Genomic DNA, 16,731 nt, shown 5'->3' with positions numbered 1-16,731 from the left:
TCCTCTTCCTTGTGGCACAGTTTCCCATTCACCTCTCTCTCCCTTAGCTCCAAGGCTTCCAGCTCCTGCTCGCTCAGCCTGGATCGTCGATAGATGTCCATGTTTTGCTACACAAAAGATTTGAAAGACACAGTAAGGACTCAGACCATCTTAATTTGAAATGTCCTAACATTAGTAACATCTACTGTACTTTAAGAGCCAAAGCCCAAACAATACACAATCACATAAAAACTATAGTTTGATGTGTGTGGAGCTGCCAGACTCCGTCCACTGTCATCGGGAACAGCTTTCTGTAAGGCCATCATTAGATGGCAGGTATTTTTGGAACCGTCAGGACTGTTAGGGCACTCAAATTGTCTCACTGCCTCCCCTCGCCCCCTCAGATCAGCTCAGAAGCATGGCCACCTTGTGAAGGTCTGAGAGTTGCTGGTGCCTGACTAGGGCATCTTTGTTCGGGAACTGGCGCCGGCAGAGCAGACAGGCCATCTTCTTCCAGTCAGCTAGCTTCTCTTCCTCACTCTCAAGTCTCTCCACCAGCTCCTCCTCATTGTCACTGTCACCACTGTAAGCAGCAACCAGACCCCTCTGGAGACAAAAGGAGGACAGGTCACTGGAAATGTACAATAGGAAGATGGCGGTGGCTATGTACCTGGATAAAGTAATGCCTCATCCGAAATGTTAACAAATCCCCATTACTGCATGTCACACTTTAGTAATGAATCACATTTTGTCAACTGCGTGGAGCAGTCAGGTCCTTGAGTGCTAGGCCTGACAGCCTCCTGGTACCAACCTTCTTGGAGCCTAAGAAATGGATTCCTGGGTGACTACCTTTTTCTATTTCTTTGGAGAAGGAGTCTCGCTCTGTTGCCCAGGCTGGAGTGCAGTGGCGTAATCTCAGCTCACTGCAACCTCCACCTCCCAGGTTCAAGTGATTCAAGTGTCTCAGCCTCCCAAGTAGCTGGGATTACAGGCGCTTGTCACCACCCCTGGCTAATCTTTTGCATTTTTAGTAGAGATGGGGTTTCACCACATTGGTCAGGCTGATCTCGAACTCCTGACCTCAAATGATCCGCCTGCCTTGGCCTCCCAAAGTGCTGGGATTACAGGTGTGAGCCACTGTGCCAAGACTGTTTTTGTTTTTTTTTTTTTTAAATGAGACAGGGTCTTGCTCACTGCCCAGGCTGGAGTGCAATGGTATGATCCCCAAAAAGTGCAGTGGCTCACTGCAGCCTTGATCTCCTGGGCTCAAGCAATTCTCTTACCTTAGCATCCCAAGTAGCTAGGAGTACAGATGCAAGCCACCACACCCAACTAATTTGTTTCTAATTTTCAGTAGAGACGAAGTCTTGCAATGTTGCCTAGACTGAGTGACTATTTTCAAACCACTGACCACAAATAAAAATCCCAAATACAACATATCAGAATAATGGCCCACCCAGACCAGTATCTATCTAGTAAAACAAGCTTTTTCTTGTCTTAATTTTCTCTTTCCAGACCATTAAAACTCTCCACTCACAGATGCAATGAAACTTAATTAACTGAGCTTAGGAATTGAAGCTTCTTTCATCACTCCATCTCATCTGCTCTCACAGAAAACAAAGCCCCGACATGGAATCTATGTGCAGAAACTGCTCCAATACCCATCAACAGTGATCACATTCAGTTTTAAGTAGGAATCACATTAGCCAAGATGCAGTTGAGCCTTAAAGTGAGACACAAACCACAGATAGGGTCTTTAAAACACTGGTGGTACTCCCTTACTTTGAGGGGATTCTCCTCATCTCCATTTCGCACCAATTCTGGGATGAGCTGCTGCCTTTCAGCTAAGGCTCCCTGGGAAACAGAGGACAAGCCATGAGACTCAAGTTTTAGGTAAGTTCCCATCATGACATACTGGCCATTCCTGCTATTACCTTCTTCTCAAAGAGAGCAAAGCCAGCGTCTGCTGCAGCAGATTCTCTCCTTTCTTCTTCCCTCAAGGAATTGACAGGCTGAAAGCTATTTTTAAAGTTTTCTTTCTGCTTATTCAAACTCTTAGCCCAGCGTTCCATGTCTTTGGCAATCTAATGTCAAACAACAAACACCAACAAAAAAATATTTAATCCCCTGTGCCATGAGAATGAGCCATTAAGGATCTTATCTCAACTATATGCCCTGTAACAAACCCCTTTTACTCTTACTTCCACCTACAAATATTTCCATTAGATGTTATCACATATAACCAAAGTCATTCATAAATACTGCTTGAAAAGCTTTGAGATTTCCAGGGCTTTTTTCCCTAAGTACACAGGCTGACAGTCAAGATATGGTAACAATAACAAATTGCAAAATGCTCTAAGAACTTAGTATGAATAAAATGTGAAGCCCAATTTTTAAGAATCCAAATAATACTGACATAAATGCTACAACCCCAAAACTAAGAGTTCAGCCCAATACCTCAATGAAAGAAATATGGGTCATGTTCTAACCTGCTGGGCTGTTTTGCTCTTGGGTTTCTCCTTCTTCTCTTTCCCCTCTTTTGCAGGAGGCAGGCCCGACTGCTGGTGGGAGCTAGACTCTGCAGCTGGCACGTAGGTCTCTTTTTCCCCATCCCAGTAAAGGTACTGCTGGGTCAAGGAATTATAGTAGTACTAGAAAACAACAAACAAAAAACAATTAATGCAGACTTTCTGCTATGTCAGTCGATTACATATTTTGTCAAAAAAAAGATAAAGTATGTTGTGGACTAGTGATATTTCCTGCCCAGAAAAGACCCTGGGCACACCTTGGTATAAGTAAAGGTGATGAACCACCTAGCAAAGAGGTGTGACACTGCTAGAGTAAAAATAGAATATGATTTCTTTAAAAAGTTTAGTTCCCAGCCGGGAGCAGTGGCTCATGCCCGTAATCCTAGCACTTTGGGAGGTGGTGGTGGGCAGATCACCCAAGGTCAGGAGTTCAAGACCAGCCTGGCCAACATGGTGATAACTCATCTCTACTAAAAATACAAAAATTAGCTGGGCATGATGGCACACCTGTAATCCCAGCTACTCAGGAGGCTGAGGCAAGAGAACTGCTTGAACCTGGGAGATGGAGGAGGTGGCAGTGAGCCAAGATCATGCCACTGCACTCCAGTCTGGGCAACAGAGTAAGACTCCATCTCAAAAAAAATGATAATAAAAATTTAAAAAGTCTAGTTCCCATTAATTTAATCCCTGGGCCTACCTAGAGGGCACCCAAAGAGCAATTTGTCTCACTCTGTTCCACAGACTATTTACATAAACCAGGCAGCCAGAACAGGTGGGCGTGTCATGGAGTTCAGACATCTGCCATGACAACAGCTCATCATTGGGCCCATCCACATAGAATCCATTGGATACCAGGCAACCACACACAGGGTGTAAACACTAGCACAGAGCTGGAAGGAGGTGTTGGTGAAGGGACCCAAGCTCAGCAGGAATTGCAACAGAGGAGAGGTGTCACATATCCTCTCCTCTATTTTCCAGTCGCTCACTCTATCTGCTCAACAGGGACCCAGGAGACAGTGTCTGTCTCTTCTGGGTAAGGTGGCGTGGCTAACAGACACAACTTTTTTTTTTTTTTTTTTTTTTTTTTTTTTAGACAGAGTCTCGCTCCGTCACCCAGGCTGGAGTGCAGTGGCGCGACATTCGCTTACTGCCAGCTCCACCTCCCGGGTTCACGCCATTCTCCTGCCTCAGCCTCCCGAGTAGCTGGGACTACAGGCATTCGACACCACGCTTGGCTAATTTTTTTGTATTTTTTTTTTTTTTTTAGTAGAGACGGGGTTTCACTGTGTTAGCCAGGATGGTCTCAATCTCCTGACCTAGTGATCCTCCCATCTTGGCCTCCCAAAGTGCTGGGATTACAGGCGTGAGCCACTGCGCCCAGCCTACAGACACAACTTCTAAGGCCACCAAAGAGAACTGACGGGAAAAAAAAAAAAAAAAAAAAAGAACTGACAGGGAAATAAATGGCCAGGCTTCACAAATGAGAGAAGTGGATGGAAGAGGTATGCAGAGGCTTGGCCTGCTTAGGCACGTCACACACAGCTTCACACTTCAATCTCTCAGAAACCACAACCTATCAATGCCAAGTTCCTGTTAAAAATACTTATTACTGTTCTATATATACAGCTCCCGGTCATAAATAGAGTTATTTATGGGGTGTTAAAGTTGTTTTTCCCTTTTAAAAGTTATATATGCCACCAAAAATAAAACATCACTCCATACATCTGCTAAATTCTACCCTCAAGAATACACAGGGAGGCAAAGTAAAGGATGCTGGACACAAAAGGTAATCTATTGTCTGACTCCACTTATATGAAATGTCAAGAACAGAGGGCTGGGCACAGTGGCTCATGCCTGTAATCCTGGCACTTTGGAGGCTGAGGCGGGTGGATCACTTAAGGTCAGGAGTTCGAGACCAGCCTGGCAAACAAGGTGAAACCCTGTCTCGACTACAAAAATTAGCTGGGTGTGGTGGGCGCCTGTAATCCCAGCTACCAGCTACTCAGCAGGCTGAGGCAGGAGCATTGCTTGAACCCAGGAGGTGGAGGCTGCAGTGAGCCAAGATCGTGCCACAAAAAAAATAAAAAAAGCAAATCCATAGAGACAGAGAGTAGATTAGTAGTTACTGGAGGAGAGTACAGAATGGGGAGTGACTGTTTAACAGGTACAGGGTTTCTTCTTCGAGTGATGAAAATGTTCTGAGATTAGACAGTGGTGACAGTTACACAACACTGTGAATATATTAAAAGCCACTGATTTGTACACTCTAAAAGGTTAAACAATAGGGAGAAAAGTACAATTTAAAATTTCTAGCTAGGTCTTTCCATAAATTGTAACTTGACAAAATAATCTATGGCAACAGAAATCAAAATAGTGGTTATTGAAGACATAGGTTACTGACCAGCAATGGGCATGAGGATTAGGTGGGCTGGGAATAAGTGGTGGTGTATATACACATGTAATATACAAATGTATAGACATGTATAAACATTCAAAGAATTGCACATTTCTGTTTTGTGTATTTTTTTGTGTGTATATTATACCTCAAAACATTTTTTAACCCTACAATTAAAACTTACAATCTCCATATAAAAATTACATTTTGGTGGCTTTGAAGAAGTTAAAACTAATCTGAGTCATATATTCTTTTGCAGGAAATATTTCATTTTATGCCTCATAAATGCACTAAGCGAAACTACTTCTAGTGAAATTGAGGAGGAAAGCAGCACATTTACTTGCGAGTTGGGGTCATAATAGAGCCCTGTTGTCGGATCATAGTAATATCCTGAAGATTCATCATACTGGTAAGTGGACGTGTCAGGTACTGCTGCAAAAACAAAATCCAGCATACAGTCATTCCAGGTAAGAAATTGGCTTTATTTCAAATTCTAAGCCAGTGAGATGCAGCAGGCCTAATGTTTCTTCTCTGTCTCACATCCCCAAGTGTCCCTCTGACACCCGCAAAGGGAGAAGAACTCTCATTAAACAAAGACAACAACTAAGACCTTCCAACTGTCAACAGCCCCATGAGGTTTGGCTTACCATATTTGGTACCAGGAACTACACCAGTAGGGGAAGCGGCTGGGGCCTGTGTACTTGTGCTAGTGCTAGGCTGTGCTTCCTCAGTCTGGAAAGAACAGCAGCTTCAATATAATTTCAACTGTAAAGCCTTTTAAGAGAGCTAAATCACTGCAATCATCCAGGAGGAAGGGCTCCCCTGACAGACACACTGTAGCAATAATCTAAGGCAATCCCTCAGCAAAACACATGTTGACAACTTTTTTGCTTTCTTTTTCAAGAGGAGTCTTGCTCTGTTGCCCAAACTGGACTGCAGTGGCGCAATCTTGGCTCACTGCAACCTCCGTCTCCGGGGTTCAAGCAATTCTCCTGCCTCAGCCTCCCGAGTAGCTGGGATTACAGGCATGTGCCACCACGCCCGGCTAATTTTTGTATTTTTAGTAGAGACGGGGTTTCACCGTGTTAGCCAGGATGGTCTTGATCTCCTAACCTCGTGATCCACCCGCCTCGGCCTCCCAAAGTGCTGGGATTACAGGCGCGAGCCACCACACCCGGCCCCGGCGACAACTTTCTAAAGGTCAAGCATGCATAAAGTGTAAATACACAGTTGAAATTTTATATTTAAAATATACATGCACATATATATCATAAAATTAATATTTTAAAACAACAGAAAGAAATAAGGTTGAAGTGTGTATTACTCAATCCTGGCTCATACAACAGGAAAGGGTAATACTTGTATAGCAAAACAAAATTTCCCCATCAGCCACGAGTTTTGTATATAGGACAACAGGATTACCGGAGAGCCAGGTGGATTGGAGGTTTGATTATACAGCTGAGGACTCTGGGACACTACAGCCGCTGAGGTGGTGGTCACTGCTGTGCCTGATGATAAACACAAGTGTTAGGGAAAGCCAAGGCACTGAACGCCAACCCAAACATCTTTATTTGTAATGCCCAATCTAGCCTTCTTCTGTCATTGTATATGTCAGTTCTTCATAAGCTAACTTCCACTAAGTACCCTGGAATCTGTGACATTTTCATTTTCTTATAATTCTACTAGATGTGATATACAAAGTTAAGGATTCTGTATCATGGCTAAGAAAAAGAGAAGAGGCCGGGTGCAGTGGCTCAGGCCTGTAATCCCAGCACTTTGGAAGGAAAAGGCGAGCCGATCACGAGGTCAGGAGATTGAGACCATCCTGGCTAACACGGTGAAACCCCGTCTCTACTAAAAATACAAAAAATTAGCCGGGAGTGGTGGCAGGCACCTGTAGTTCCAGCTACTTGTGAGGCTAAGGCAGGAGAATGGCGTGAACCTGGGAGGCAGAGCTCACAGTGAACCGAGATAACGCCACCGCACTCCAGCCTGGGCAACAGAGCGAGACTCCGTCTCAAAAAAAAAAGAAGAGAAAAGGAAGAGAAGAAAGGATCTATATTTGCTCTGGGGTTGAGAAAGATTTAACTCACAAGGCTTTTTAAAGCCTGAAACAAAAATTAAAGCCAAGGCTTCTTAGAGTAGCTCTTCTGATTGATGTCTGAGCACCAGTCTCCAGGGCCACATCCTCTCTGCTCACCTGAACTTACGTGGGCACTCACGACTCCAAACACAGAGAGGGGAAATACAGAGTTGAATTCCAAGAATTAAACTCATCACAACATGGTCTCTAAGACCTTGTATTAACTCCTGGTGTACACAAATAACCGTATTCTTCCCCAGAACCTTGGGTACATGATGACAGCCCTGAATATGCCCCCTACATTCTTTTTTTTTTCTTTCTGAGACAGAATCTCACTCTGTCGCCCAGGCTGGAGTGCAGTGGCGCAATCTCAGCTCACTGCAATCTCTGCCGCTCGGGTTCAAGCAATTCTCCTGCCTCAGCCTCCTGAGTAGCTGGGATTACAGGCGCCTGCCACCGCACCTGGCTAATTTCTGTAGTTTTAGCTGAGATGGGGTTTCACCATGTTGGCCAGGCTGGTCTTGAACTCCTGACCTCGTGATCCACCTGCCTTGGCCTCCCAAAGTGCTGGGATTACAGGCGTGAGCCACCGTGCCCGGCCATGCCCCCTACAATCTTACAGAGAAATGGACTTGTAGCTTTTGGTCCAGTTAGGACATTTAATCATATTTCTTCAACTGTAAGTGCTTAAACAAAAGGTAAAAGGGAGATGAAGTTTACTACCTGATGCAGATGATGCATCAGATTCCAATCCTCCAGCTTGTTGTTGATAAAACTGCTGATAATCCTGTGAATACTGAAGAAAAGTCCACCATTAAAGCTGCTATTCTCAGACACACTCTGCAAGACTATAAGGTGGATGCTGCTAAAATCTACCTACCTGAGCATATTGGGCATAGCCATCTTGACCTGGTTGCAGATAACTGTAGTCAACACTGCCTCCTTCACCACTTTGAGACTACAAAACATCAAAATGAGACAAAGACAAACTTAGTAGGCATTAAGGAAAAAAATTCAGAAGTCCCTAAAAATGAGCTCATGATGCTGGGCGCTGTGGCTCACGGCTGTAATCCCAGCACTTTGGGAGGCTGACGTGGGTGGATCACCTGAGGTCAGGAGTTCAAGACCAGCCTGGCCAACGTGGTGAAATCCCATCTCTACTAAAATACAAAAATTAGCCAGGCGTGGTGGCAGGTACCTGTAATCCCAGCTACTCAAGAGGCTGAGACAGAAGAACCACTTGAACCTGGAAGGTGGAGCTTGCAGTGAGCCAAGATTGCACCATTGCACTCCAGCCCGGGTGACGAGAGTGATACTCTGTCTCAAAAAAAAAAAAAAAAAAAAAAAAAAAAAAAGAAAAGAAAAGAGCTCATACTGCGAGTACCACAGGAGAGGTCACGTCTGTGAATCTGGGCACCACCACCACACTACCTTGAGCAAAAAGATCCTCGATCTTACCTGGGTGGATGACCACTGAGCAGCAGCAATAGCCGTACTAGCTACAGAGAAAGCGCTGACGCGGTTACCATCTGAGAGGACCAAGTCTCTGAAACCACAAAGATCCAATCATGTGATTCTATCACAGTATTCCCACAATTAGTGCCCCTATACCACCAACTGATTCACTCCACCCTTTGTCAGTTCTCAAATGCCAGCAAGGCCACATTTCACAGGGGGAGGGCTCTTCATGGGGAAATTCCTCAGTAAGCAAGTGGCCCTGTAGTATCATTGTTCTACCTTGTAACCTGCCATCTAACGAAGAGTTTTTTGAATGTGCAATGATACTAAAAAAAGGGAAATTTACCGTGTTAGAGTTAAGCACTATATACATGAAATTATTAGCACGCTGTTCTGGAAGGAATGGGTTATTTCTGGATGGGTTAGCACTATACTGCTGCAGTTTGCAAAGCATGTGTTCTCAACCCATCTGCCATACTTGCCTTTCTCCTGATCTGAAACCATTTCAGGCAACTTCATCAACTGGTTACACAGGACAGTAGGGAATAATCACTAAAAGAAGACAAACGTGTCCCTCCTGGCCTTGGCAATCAGGGAGGATCACAGTGTCTCAACATACTTGGGGCACAGGCTTGGCGTTCAGTTAGCACACTGTACAAATGTGCATATGCAGTAGTTTGAAATAAGGACAATGAAGCCACTCACTTTCTGGCACTTTTTGCAAAATCAACCCCAATAGTTTTGCCATCAATTTTCAAAGGAGGATGGAGACTCTGTAATATCTGAAGCAGCTGAGAAGCATCCTGAAGGAGAATGTGAAGGAAAAAAACGTGTAATGCAATTAAAAATCTCTCCCTACCATCCACCCCATTCAAAGAAGTAGTTTTCTATTAAAAAATAAAAGGCAATTAATTCCTTATTGTGTTTGCAGATATGAAACCTCAAGAAAGGAATATCTCTCTTTCCTCTAAGATGTGAAGGTTTCCAGTATTACCAAAAGAGCAAATGCTAAACCAATCTAAAACAAAGTACATCTAGCACTTGGGAGGCTGAGATGAGCGGATCACTTGAAGTCAAGAGTTCGAGACCAGCCTGGCCAACATGGCAAAAACCTGTCTCTACTAAAAATACAAAAATTAGCTGGGCGTGGCTGGGCGCGGTGGCTCACGCCTGTAATCCCAGCACTTTGGGAGGCAGAGGTGGTGATCAAGACCATCCTGGCTAACACAGTGAAACCCCATCTCTACTAAAAATACAAAAAATTAGCTGAGCATGGTGGTGAGCGCCTGTAATCCCAGATACTCAGGAGGCTGAGGCGGGAGAATGGCGTGAACCCTGGGGAGATGGAGCTTGCAGTGAGCCGAGATCACACCACTGCACTCCATCCAGCCTGGGCGACAGAACGAGACTCCCTCTCAAAAAAAAAAAAAAAAAAAAAAAAAAAAAAAAAATAGCTGGGCGTGGTGGCGGGCACCTGTAATCCCAGCTACTCAGGAGGCTGAGGCAGGAGAATCGCTTGAACCCTGGAGGCAGAGGTTGCAGTGATCCGAGATGGTGCCACCGCACTCCAGCCTGGGCGACAGTGAGACTCCATCCCAAAAAAGAACAACAACAACAAAAAACAAAGTACCAAGGACTAAACTGTGGCTCAAAAAATTCTGCCAGTTGCCTATAGGTATACACATTATTTTTACTACTTACTGAAGTCATCAGTCCTGTAATTTAGCAGTGCAAAAACTGTCATTAGGGAGCCTTGCATCTTGGGCTTTAGGAGCCTCAGACAGTTTCAAAACTGGATGAACCACATTTGCCTCTTAAAGCTGTTTCTTTTAAAAAGGAAAGAATCGATGAGAACCTCACCATTGCAGAGGACAGCTGCACAAATGCGAAGCCTCTGTTCTGCTGGGTCTGTTTGTCTTTTATGAGGCGGATGTTATTGACAGCTAAAGACGCGTAAGGAGACAGTGCTGTCATGATGGAATCCACCACAGTGTGCGGAGCTATGTTCCGAAGAATGATCGCTAGGGGTAAATGAGACAAATGACATACACATGCATTCCCACCACCAATGTACCAAAGTTTTCCAAGATAGGGTCAAGTACATACAAATCCATTTGTGACATTCCTAGTGTATTTTCTACCCTGACATGGAGAAGATTCTAAAAATCCTGTCTTTTAAGGGACAACCCGAAGCTGCTGCTGCTCCTTACAAAAGGGTAGGAGAACAGAAATTTCCAACTGAGGTCAATTTTTTTTTTTTTTTGAGACGGAGTAGCTGGGATTACAGGTGTGTGCCACCACACCCAGCTAATTTTTTGTATTTTTAGTAGAGACAGGGTTTCACCGTGTTAGCCAGGATGGTCTCCATCTCCTGACAACTGAGGTCAATTTTTAACATGAAGACCAAAAGATCGTGTATGAACTTACTATCACAGTAGTAATCCACAGACTGAACCGACTCTGTGGTTCCAGGAGGCACTTCCTGTTCAGAGTCTAGAAGGGAAAGTGATCCAATTAGAGACAAACAACTAATGTATTTTCACCAAAGAAATACATTAAAATCCCCACAAGTTTTTATTTTAACCACACAAAACAATCGTTTTTTTCTTTTTTAAGCATTTGTGCCTATAGTAAAACCTCATTAATTGTGACTTGGTTAACGCAGAATGCAAACTTTGGGCCACAGTGGGACTGACACTACCCTGCACTAAAGAAAGGCAGATGCAGAATGCAAACCAGGTGAGCAGACTTAATTCTAGAAAACAAAAGAACTTTCTGTGCTCTCACAATCATGAGCAGCATTATCTAACCTAAGGGAAAAGATTTAAAGAAAACAGACAAGTTGTTTAAGTACACTAAAATCTATACTTTTCCTCAGGCTCACAGTTAACAACCCTATTTGTCAGATTTTTGTTTTGTTTTTTTTGAGAGGCAGGGTCTTGTTTGTTGCCCAGGCTGGAGTGCAGTGGTATGACCATAGCTCACTGCAGCCTTCAACTCCTGGACTCAAGCAATCCTCTCACCTAAACCTCCTGAGTAGCTAGGACTACAGGTGTGTGCCACCACACCCAGATAATTTAAAATTTCTTTTTTTGTACAGGCAGGGTCTTGCTATCTCTTGCCAGGCTGGTATTGAACTCCTGTCCTCAAGTGATCTTCCCACCTTGGCCTTGCAAAGTGGTGGGATTACAGTGAGCCACTGCTCCCTGCCCCAGTTAGTAGGTTTTAATGCATATTGCAAACAGCTGAATCCAGTCTTACCAAACTTGTCTGCTCCACATCGGAAGCATTTTAGTCTTTTCCTGAAATTGTTAAGGCAGCACTGAAAAAAAAAGTTTTATCTGTAATTATTTCTCACATTAGGCCAGGCTTTCTAGTAACAATAACAGTGGGGCCACGGGTAGGTCCCAGTAACTAACAGAAAAGCAGAAAGTCTCACGTAGCTGAGACATGGGGACATAACCTAAAAAATTCAGAATGTAACACTGTTAAAATCTCCCAAGAAAAACAAAGTTTGTTGTATGTTGAAGAAGAATCCCATTATTATCAAGCCGAGGAAAGGGTTCAGTTAATTTGAAAACTCTACAGCAAGCCACTGGTGAAGCTCTTCCTTGTATCAACAGAGCACTATACATCCCATCCTACATACACAAACACAAGGTAAACTAACCACTGTCTAGTCCCCTACTGGACAGGGGACACAGTTTGAGCACTCTCAAAATATCAATGTCAACATTCAAGTTCAAAATGGTAAACCTTATATAACTTTAGCAGGGTTCTCAACTATTTTGGTTAATACAGTTAAGAGACTACGCCAAAAACTGAGAGCTCTAGAATTCAATAAACAGTAACATGAAACACACCTAAAATCTTAATCACTGGGCTTAGAACCTGCATCCTTTTTGTTGTCCTTTTTTGTTTTTTGAGACAGAGTCTCACTCTGTCACCCAGGCTAGAGTGCAGTGGCGCGATCTTGGCTCATTGCAACCTCTGCCTCCCGTGTTCAAGAGATTTTCCTGCCTCAACCTCCGAGTAGCTGGGATTACAGGCGCGCACCGTGATGCCCAGCTAATTTTTGTATTTTTAGTAGAGACGGGGTTTTGCCATGTTGGCCAGGCTGGTCTCTAACCCCTGGCCTCAAGCTATCTACCCGCCTTGGCCTCCCAAAGTGCTGGGATTACAGGCGTGAGCCACCATGCCCAGCAGAACGTGCATCTTAATAAACGAAACCTCTAGTTCTATCATCTAATACCAGTGTAGGAGGACCCAAGGAAAGTAACAAACCATGAATATTACTGATGATTGAGTAACAATTTCCTTGTTTGGACAGTCAAATAAACAAACAGAAAAAAACAGCAATATCCTAAAGGAGTTTTGTCTATTTGGGAAGAACATATGCTTACCTTGTTACAAAGCCAATCTTCAAACTTAGGTCTGGGATTGCTATAATGCATTGCAATGTGCTTTCCTTGAATCACCAACTTTTTCTGTAAGAAAAGAAGTAATTAGTTATTCCCATTGTGAGGAACATGTGTCCATTTTCCCAGGGCAGAGCACACTTCGGAAAAATCAGTGCTCTGGAATTAAATGGACAACATACGGGGAGGACCAACCACCGCCACCTATACTCTGCCCATCCAATCCTTCAGATAGGCAGTAAGAGAATGGGATGCGGAGTAAAGGTAAACGGAGTCAGGGAGTGCTGAGAAAGCTGTCAAACACTAAACGCTGACTTGCACCAGGCCGTGTCTCCAGCGGAGACAGAAGTCCTAACATTCAGCATTGACAGGCTGCCTGAGTGTGACAGTCTACTTCAAAAAGCAGAAGACACAATTCTCTCAGTTCTGAGACTGTCTCTTACTTTTGCCCTTAGCATGGTGTCCTTGGGCTTCGCTTCACCTTTTTCCCCAGTCCCCCATCCTTATGCAAAGTAAAAGCCTTTACATTTCTCCTTCCCCCCACACCTTCTGCTTCAGGATGAGTCCTTTGGGGGGAAAGGGAGGGGAACTCATTTTTAAAGGGAATCTGGTTACAATTCTTTCTCAAGAGGGACTATTCTGAATGCCACCAACTCTAAAACAACTAAATGAGATTTTTTTTTTCCTGTCAACTGCAACCATGTCATGTCCTAGGTGACAGATGTGTTTTTCACTAAAATGGATGGTACTCTCTTCAAGGTGAGTAACCAGGAGGCCAATGAAGTTTCTTCAGGGGGGTAGGAAAAGCTCATAAATGCACACACCACCTCATCCTTCAAGTCAACCATGTGACTACAAGGACTTAGCTTTAAAAAGTCAAAATTCTGAGCTGAATCAATCTAGCCAAGAGTATACCTAGCACCTACCCCTAAAGAGCCTTCATTTAACAGGAGCATCTTTTCTTTTTCTTGGGGGTGGGAGGATCAAGGGTGGGGGTGGTTTGACACTATCAAACAGATTTAAGTAGGTGGTTAGATATCCAGATTTTAAAAAGGAGTCTAACCCCTCTAAACATACATACTGTTGAGCAATTTGGTTCTTGCAAATCCTGGAAGATTTAAGACATGCTGTGAATTTTGTCTCTGCGATATCTAAAGGCAAGACTGCATGTCTGGCCAGGAGAGAAAAAGCTGAAGGGCCATCCACTCACTGTGATATACAGAAGCAAAAATAAAAAAGCTGGGAGATATGTGAATAGATCATCCCACTAGGAGGGATGTGTGCTGGGAGACTCCAAACTACCAGTGAGTCCCTAATCCTACTGGCCTTTTATTTCTGGAGTGAATTTGAACTGTAATGTGTTACACAGTAACATAGCTTTGTATACATTAAAATTGTGGAGACTTTTAAATGTCTTACAGGTTTTAGTTTCTTAGGAGTTTTAAACTCCTAGGTTAGTCATTCTGACATATCCACTGCATCAAACAATGCTATCATGTCAAGAAAGCAGACTCACATGAACCTTGTATATGTTCTGGATTTACTAGGATGGTATCTATGGTATGAAATGAATGAAGCTCTACTTTTAATAAAATCAGGCTGTGATTTCTGGGTTAGGAAAATGAGAGGCTTAAAAACTTTAACAAATCAGTCAGTCAAAGTGATACCCTCATTAGTGAGTCTTGTTATAAATGGCAATATTACCAATCAAAGAATGTAACTTTTATTCATGGATTCATGGATGACTCAAATCACAGAATGCTGCAGAAAAGCAAGATAATGAGTCAAGCAAACTTCCCAGAATGCACTTGGTTAAAGGCATTCAATAATGTGCCTTGGAGTTCTTGCAAAAAATGTTATTTAAGTGCCAAGCACTGAACATTATCTTGACAAACTGAAGAACACTTCAGTTAACACTACCTCGAAGAACCATCAATGACTTGCTTTGAACAGACTATAAAAGGCATTCTCAAGGAGATTAGAATGTTAATGCCACTCTAACTAGATTAGACAGCTGCAGGACACCACTCCCAGGCTAATCTCATCAGACTTATTGTTCATAAATTCCACTAAGTCCTTAAATATTCCCTGAAGACCGGTCTGAGCAGTTACGCCTCCAGGAGGCTTTGTGGTCTTCAGGCAGAAATAAGGAATTACTTATAAAAATGCCGCCACAGACTTTCACTATGTTCTCTTCACTGTCAAATGGAGAGTTTGATATACTAAGCTTACTCTCAATGGACATAATAGGAATATAACAAACTAGAAAAAAGGGAAACATTAAGATGTTTTAGTGATTACCAGACAGGTATTCAGTAGTTAACAAAGCCCTGCCAGGTAGGTAGCCATGTTTAAAGGCAGAACAAATTCTATAATGAAGTCCTTGGTACTGTACTTATTCTAGTAACATCAATTTTAATATATACAAAGCTTTTTTTTTAAAAAAAAGTCACTCCTTTGGAACAAACCACTCCTTCAACCTTTTTTTAAAATTGTACAGACTTGTTCCATTTTCATGAATATCTAGACTTGGTGAGTGAAGCAACCTGATTGGCTTCCATCCAGCTGGTAGCATCTTGCAAGTGATAAAACTCCACGAAGGCGAAACCACGGCTTACACCTAGAGACAGCATTCAGATATAGACGGGATACTTGTGTTAGTCAGTTCCTTTATAACAGGTGAATCTCTCTCCCACTGCTTCAACACTGCGTGACAAAGCCAATTGGGAAGCAGCTTTACAAATGTGACTTGACTTGGGGATCTTCTTGATACTTTGCCATGGCAAGGAACAAGCCGCCTGAACTAAATGCCACTCCATTTGATTCCACGCTTAAAGTAACCATGCAACCGACTATAGTCAAAAAAAAAAAGGAGTTTATAAATCATTACTTACCTAAGGAAAAAAAAGTCCCTAAAACAAAGTTTAAAAAAGTTCCTCAGATGCTAACATGGTTTTCAAAGAGTCACATTCCTTAGCCATGGCAAACCTTTCATTCTGAATTCATGTGCTTGAAGACTGGGGGAATCAGGATGTTCTTTAGGGACTGAGGTGGGAATGGGGAAGAGAACAATAATATCAGGAACTAAGCAAGCTCTCACCTGTTTTCCTCTTCATCAGCCTCACATCCGCAGGCTGAGGGCCTTCGAAGGACTCCATCATTTCTCGAATCTGCACAGGGTTTTACATTATTTACAGTTAAAGCTTTTGCCACACACTATTCCCCATGGAATAGGAATTACATCAACTGTTTAATTAGCCAAGTTTTTTTTTTTTTTAAGATGGGAGTCTCTGTCTCTCACTCACTTGATTGCCCAGGCTGGAGTGCAGTGGCATGATCTCAGCTCACTGCAACCACCACCTCCTGGGTTCAAGCAATTCTCCTGCCTCAGCCTCCCGAGTAGCTGGGATTATAGGTGTGCACCACCATGCGTGACTGATTTTTTTTTTTTTTTGAGACGGAGTCTCGCTCTGTCACCCAGGCTGGAGTACAGTGACGTGATCTCGGCTCACTTCAACCTCCACCTCCTGGATTCAAGCGATTCTTCTGCCTCAGCCTCCCAGGTAGCTGGGATTACAGGCATCCACCACCACATCCAGCTAATTTTTGTATTTTTAGTAGAGACGGGGTTTCACTGTGTTGGACAGGCTAGTCTCGAACTCCTGGCCTCAAGTGATATGCCAGCCTCCCATATCATTACATGCATGACCCACCATGCCTGGCCTAATTAGCCAAGTTTTTATCTTCTATCACCAAAATGCAATTTTCCTAAAAGGCACAAAAAAGAGAGAACATTTCTCATAGAAATTAATGCATTATAACAGCACTGAAGGCATTCATTAAATGTTGCATGGGAATTTCCCTCAGGTG

At 43.3% G+C, this 16,731-nt stretch overlaps 1 protein-coding gene and 1 long non-coding RNA gene across 10 annotated transcripts in view, besides 1 other annotated feature; one reads left to right on the top strand and one right to left on the bottom strand.

Moving 5' to 3' along the window:
- RBM5 (RNA binding motif protein 5) overlaps positions 1-16,731 on the bottom strand; it is a 30,103-nt gene that overhangs the window by 3,009 nt on the left and 10,363 nt on the right. Inside the window, exons 5-22 of one of the 9 annotated variants that reach the window (NM_005778.4) lie at positions 15,962-16,031; positions 15,408-15,481; positions 12,847-12,930; positions 11,705-11,765; positions 10,871-10,936; positions 10,304-10,464; positions 9,149-9,246; positions 8,444-8,531; positions 7,866-7,943; positions 7,709-7,781; positions 6,325-6,410; positions 5,550-5,634; positions 5,243-5,334; positions 2,469-2,630; positions 1,914-2,063; positions 1,762-1,833; positions 406-585; positions 33-107 (exon numbers count right to left, since the gene is read on the bottom strand). In NM_005778.4, the coding sequence (NP_005769.1) occupies positions 33-107; positions 406-585; positions 1,762-1,833; positions 1,914-2,063; positions 2,469-2,630; positions 5,243-5,334; positions 5,550-5,634; positions 6,325-6,410; positions 7,709-7,781; positions 7,866-7,943; positions 8,444-8,531; positions 9,149-9,246; positions 10,304-10,464; positions 10,871-10,936; positions 11,705-11,765; positions 12,847-12,930; positions 15,408-15,481; positions 15,962-16,031 (1,755 nt within the window). Of the gene's footprint in view, positions 1-32; positions 108-405; positions 586-1,761; positions 1,834-1,913; positions 2,064-2,468; positions 2,631-5,242; positions 5,335-5,549; positions 5,635-6,324; positions 6,411-7,708; positions 7,782-7,865; positions 7,944-8,443; positions 8,532-9,148; positions 9,247-10,303; positions 10,465-10,870; positions 10,937-11,704; positions 11,766-12,846; positions 12,931-15,407; positions 15,482-15,961; positions 16,032-16,731 lie in introns of those variants that run through there. The other 8 variants (NR_036627.3, XM_011533262.3, XM_006712917.3 and 5 more) reach the window with 8 other exon arrangements.
- Positions 15,025-16,410, top strand: RBM5-AS1 (RBM5 antisense RNA 1). The gene has a single exon (NR_045388.1). It is a non-coding gene; the product is annotated as an RBM5 antisense RNA 1 (long non-coding RNA).
- Positions 15,370-15,570: a silencer, noted in NCBI's record as "peak4650 fragment used in MPRA reporter construct". NCBI's record gives its function as "represses an SCP1 promoter by STARR-seq MPRAs in K562 erythroleukemia cells {active_cell/tissue: K562}" and the evidence as "EXISTENCE:reporter gene assay evidence [ECO:0000049][PMID:32103011]".

The sequence above is a fragment of the Homo sapiens genome, chromosome 3, assembly GCF_000001405.40.
Source record: "Homo sapiens chromosome 3, GRCh38.p14 Primary Assembly".
In the NCBI taxonomy this organism is placed as follows: domain Eukaryota; kingdom Metazoa; phylum Chordata; class Mammalia; order Primates; family Hominidae; genus Homo; species Homo sapiens.
This window is presented reverse-complemented; position numbering and strand designations above follow the sequence as displayed.